The sequence below is a fragment of the Homo sapiens genome, chromosome 6 (genome assembly GCF_000001405.40).
Source record: "Homo sapiens chromosome 6, GRCh38.p14 Primary Assembly".
Classification (NCBI taxonomy): domain Eukaryota; kingdom Metazoa; phylum Chordata; class Mammalia; order Primates; family Hominidae; genus Homo; species Homo sapiens.
In genome coordinates this window covers 80,413,278-80,418,295 of record NC_000006.12, presented here as the reverse complement: position 1 = coordinate 80,418,295, position 5,018 = coordinate 80,413,278, and the positions used below count along the sequence as shown (strand labels likewise).

The following is a 5,018-nucleotide window of genomic DNA, read 5'->3' as shown; positions in this document are numbered from 1 at the left end:
CTGAAATGACAGAAATAGAATTTAGAATATGGATAGGAACAAAGATCATTGAGCTACCGAAGTATGTTGAAACCAGATCCAAGGAAGCTAAAAATCATGGTAAAACAAACGACCTGATAGAGGTGAAAAACACAATACAAGAATTTCATAATGCAATCACAAATATTAATAGCAGAATACATCAAGTGGAGAAAAGAATCTAAGAGCTTGAAGATGAGCTCTCTGAAACAAGATAGTGAGACAAAAAAAGAAAAATGAATGAAAAGGAAAAAACAAAACCTCCAAGATATATGGGATTATGTAAAGAGATGGAATATAAGACTCATTGGTGTCCCTGAAAGAGATGGGGAGAATGGAACCAACATGGAAAACATACTTCAGAATATTATCAAGGAGAATTTTCCCAACCTAGCTAGAGTGGCCAACATTCAAATTCAGAAAATACAGGGAACCTCAGTAAGATACTCCAAAAGAAGATTATCCTCAAGACATAATTATCAGATTCCCCATAGTTGAAATAAAGAAAAAAATGTTAAAGGCAACTAGAGAGAAATGTCAGGTCACCTACAAAAGGAAGATCATCAGACTAACAGCAGACCTCTCAGCAGAAACCCTACAAACCAGAAGAGGTTGGGAGACAATATTCAACATTCTTAAAGAAACTCCAACCCAGAATTTTATATCTGGCCGAACTAAACATCATAAGTGAAGGAGAAATAAGATCTTTTGCAGACAAGCAAATGCTGAGGAAATTCGTTACCCCCAGACTTGCCTTACAAGAAGTCCTGAAGGAAGCAATAAATATGGAAAGGAAGGACCATTACAAGCCACTACAAAAACACTGAGGTACACACTGACACTATAAAACAACCGCATAAACAAGTGTGCAAAATAACCAGCTAACATCATGGTGACAGAATCAAATCCACACATATCATACTAATCTTGAGGTAAATGGGCTAAATTTCCCAATTAAAAGACACAGAGTGGCAAGCTAGATAAAGAACCAAGACCCACTGATATAATGTCTCTGAGAGACCCATCTCATATGCAGTGACACACATAGGCTGAAAATAAACAGATAGAGAAAAATCTACCCAGCAAATGGAAAACAGAAAAAAAGGAGTTGCAATCCTAATTTCAGACAAAACAGTCTTTACACCAACAACAATCAAAAAAGACAAGAGCATTACATAATGGTCAAGAGTTCAATTCAACAAAATCATCTAAGTATCTTAAATATATATGCACCCAACACAGGAGCACCCAGATTCATAAAGCAAGTTCTTAGAAAGCTTTAAAGAGACTTAGACTCCTACACAATGACAGCGGGAGATTTTAACACCCCACTCACCATACTGGACAGATAATTGAGACAGAATATTTAGGGCCAGAGCATAGTACAGCATCAAATAGACCTGATAGGCATTTATAGAACTCTCCACCAGACAAACAAAAAAAGCAAATAAAAACCCAGAATACCTAAAACTTAAAGTATAATAATAATAAAATTAAAAAAAATAAAAATAAAAATAAAAAACCCAGAATATACATTATTCTCACCACCACATGGGACAACTGTAAATTGATCACATAATCAGAAGTAAAATACTCCTCAGCAAATGCAAAAGAATGGAAATCATAAGAAACAATTTCTAGGACAATAGCACGATCAAATTAGAAATCAAGACTAAGAAATTTACTCAAAACCATACAATGACATGGAAGTTGAATAACCTGCTCCGGAATGACTTTTGGATAATTAATGAAATTAAAGCAGAAATCAAGAAGCTCTTTGAAGCTAATGAGAACAAAGTTACAAAGTACCAGAATCTCTGGGATGCAGCTAAAGCAGTGTTGAGAGGGAAATTTATAATACTATATGACCACATCAAAATGTTAAAAAGACCTCAAGTTATCAAGCTAACATCACAATAAAAAGAACTAAAAAACCAAGAGCAAATAAGTCCCAAAGCTAGCAGGAGACAAGAAATAACCAAAATCAGAGCTGAACTGAAGAAGATTGACATACAAAGAAAAAAAAAAAAAACCTATTCAAAAGATCAATAAATCCAGGGACTGGTTTTCTGGAAGAACTAATAAAATAGGTAGACCACTAGCTAGACTAAGAAGAAAAGAGAGAAGACAAATACACACCATCAGAAATGACAAGAGGGATATTCCCACTGACCCCACAGAAATACAAATCATCTCAGAGAATATCATGAACACCTCTACGCAGATAAACTGTAAAATCTAGAAGAAATAAAAAAAAATCCTGAAGAAATACACCCTCCCAAAACAGAACCAGGAAGAAATTGAATTTCTGAACAGATCAATAACAAGCTCTGAAATTGAGTCAATAACAATTATACTACCCACCAAGAAAAGCCCAGGACCACATAGATTCACAGGTGAATTCTACAACATTTACAAAGAAGAGCTGGTATCATTCCTATGGAAACTAGACCAAAAAATTGAGAAAGAAGGACTCCTACCCAACTCATTCTATGAGGTCAGAATTATCTGGATACCAAAACCTGGCAGAGACGCAACAAAAAAAGAAACGTTCAGGCCAATACCCTTAATGAACATTGATGCAAAAATCCTCAATCAAATACTGGCCTGGCGAATCCAGCAACACACCAAAAAGCTTATCAAGCCTTATCAAGTAGGCTTTATCCCTGGGATGCAAGTTTGGTTCAACATACTCAAATTGATAAATGTGATTCATCACATGAATAGAACTAAAAACAAAAACCACATGATTATTTCAATAGATTCAGAAAAGGCTTTTGATAAAATTCAACACCCCTTCATGTTAAAAGCTCTGAATTTATTAGGTATTTAACAAACATCTCAAAATAATAAGGACCATCTATGACAAAACCACAGCCAACATCATACTCAATGGGCAAAATCTGGAAGCATTTCCCTTGAAAACTGGGAGGACTTTCAAGGTAAGATGAGGACGCCCTCTCACTACTCCTATTCAACATAGTATTGGAAGTTCTGACTAGGACAATCAGGCAAAAGAAAGAAATGAAGGTCATCCAAATAGTAAAAGAGGAAGTCAAACCATCCCTGTTTGCAAACAACATGACCTGATATCTAGAAAACCCCATAGTCTTGGCCCAAAAGCGCCTTCAGCTGATAAACTTTGCTGAAGTTTCAGGATAAAAAAGCAATGTGCAAAAGTCACTAACATTTCTAAACAAACACAAGAATCAAACTGAGAGCCAAATGAGAAATGCAATTCTATTCACAATTGCCACACACACACACACACACACAGAAATACCTAAGAACACAACTACTGATGGTGGTGAAAGATATCCACAAGGAGAACTACAAAACATTGTTCAAAGAAATCAGGAATGACACAAACCAATGAAAAAACATTCCATGCTCCCGAATAGGAAGATTCAATATCCTTGTAATGTCCAAACAGCCCAAAGCAATTTAAAGGTTCAATGCTACTCCTATTAAACTACAATTGGCATTTTTTACAGAACTAGGAAAAAGCTATTTTAAAATTTCTATGGAACCATAAAGAGCCCCAATAGCCAAGTCAATCCTAATCAAAAAGAACACGGCTGGAAATCAAGTTACCTGACTTAAAATTGTACAAGGCTACAGTAAATAAAACAACGTGGTGCTGGTATAAAAGCAGTCATGTAGGCCAATAGAACAGAATAGAGAACCCAGAAGTATGGCTGCACCCTTACAACTATCTGATCTTTGACAAATACAAGCAATAGGCAAAAGATTCTGGGATAACAGCCTACCCATATGCAAAAGATTAAAACTGGATCTCTTCCTTATACCACATACAAAAATTAAGATAGATTAAGGACTTCAATGTAAAACTGAACACTATGAAAACCTTGGAAGGCAACCTAGAAAATACCATCCTGGAAATAGGAACTGAAAAATATTTCCTGAAGATTTCAAAGCAATGGCAAAAAAAGCCAAAATTGACAAATGGGATCTAATTAAACTAAAGAGCTTCTGCACAGCAAAGGAAGCTATCAATAGAGTGAAGGGACAACCTACAGAATGGGAGAAAAAATTTGCAAAGCATCTGACAATCGTCTAATAACTAACATCAATGAGAAACTTAAACAAATTTACAAGAAAAAACAAATAACCCCATTAAAAAGTGGGCAAATATTATACACAGACACTTTTAAAAAAAAAGACATACATGTGGCCAATGATCATATGAAGAAAAACTCAACATCACTGATTATTAAAGAAATGCAAATCAAACTACAACGAGATACCATCTCACATCAGTCAGAATGGCTGTTATTAAAAAATCAAAAAGTAACAGATGCTGACAAGGTTGCAGAGAAAAATGAATGCCTAGGCAACATTCGTAGGAGTGTAAATTAGTTCAACCATTGTGGAAGACAGTGTTGCAATTTCTCAAAGACATAAAAACAGAAATTCTATATGACCCAGCAACCCCATTACTGGGTATATACTCTCAAGGAATATAAACTGTTCTACCATAGAGAAACATGCATGAATATGTTTATTGCAGCACCATTCACAATAGCAAAGATATGGAATCAATCTAAGTGCCCATCAATGGTAGACTGGATAAAGAAAATGTAGTATATATGCATCATGGAATACTATGCAGGCATAACGAGAATGATATCATGTTCTTTGCAGAAACATGAATGTAGTTGGATGCCATTATCCTTAGCAAACTAATGCAGGTACACAAATCCAAATACCATATATTCTCACTTACAATTAAGAGCTAAATGATAAAAACATATGGACACATAGAGGAGAACAACACACACTGGAGCCTATCAAAGAGTGGAGGGTGGGAAAAGGAAGAGGACTAAGAAAAATAACTAATGGGTTCTGGACTTAATATGTGAATGATGAAATAATATGTAAAACAAACCTCCATGACATAAGTTTACCTATATAACAAACCTGCACATGTATGCCTGAACTTAATAGTTTAAAAAAAGATGTTGAGAGTGGAATACATA

At 35.2% G+C, this 5,018-nt stretch overlaps 1 protein-coding gene across 5 annotated transcripts in view; it reads right to left on the bottom strand.

Moving 5' to 3' along the window:
* Nucleotides 1-5,018, bottom strand: part of BCKDHB (branched chain keto acid dehydrogenase E1 subunit beta) — a 360,067-nt gene that overhangs the window by 48,381 nt on the left and 306,668 nt on the right. The gene's annotated exons all lie outside the window — the stretch shown is intronic.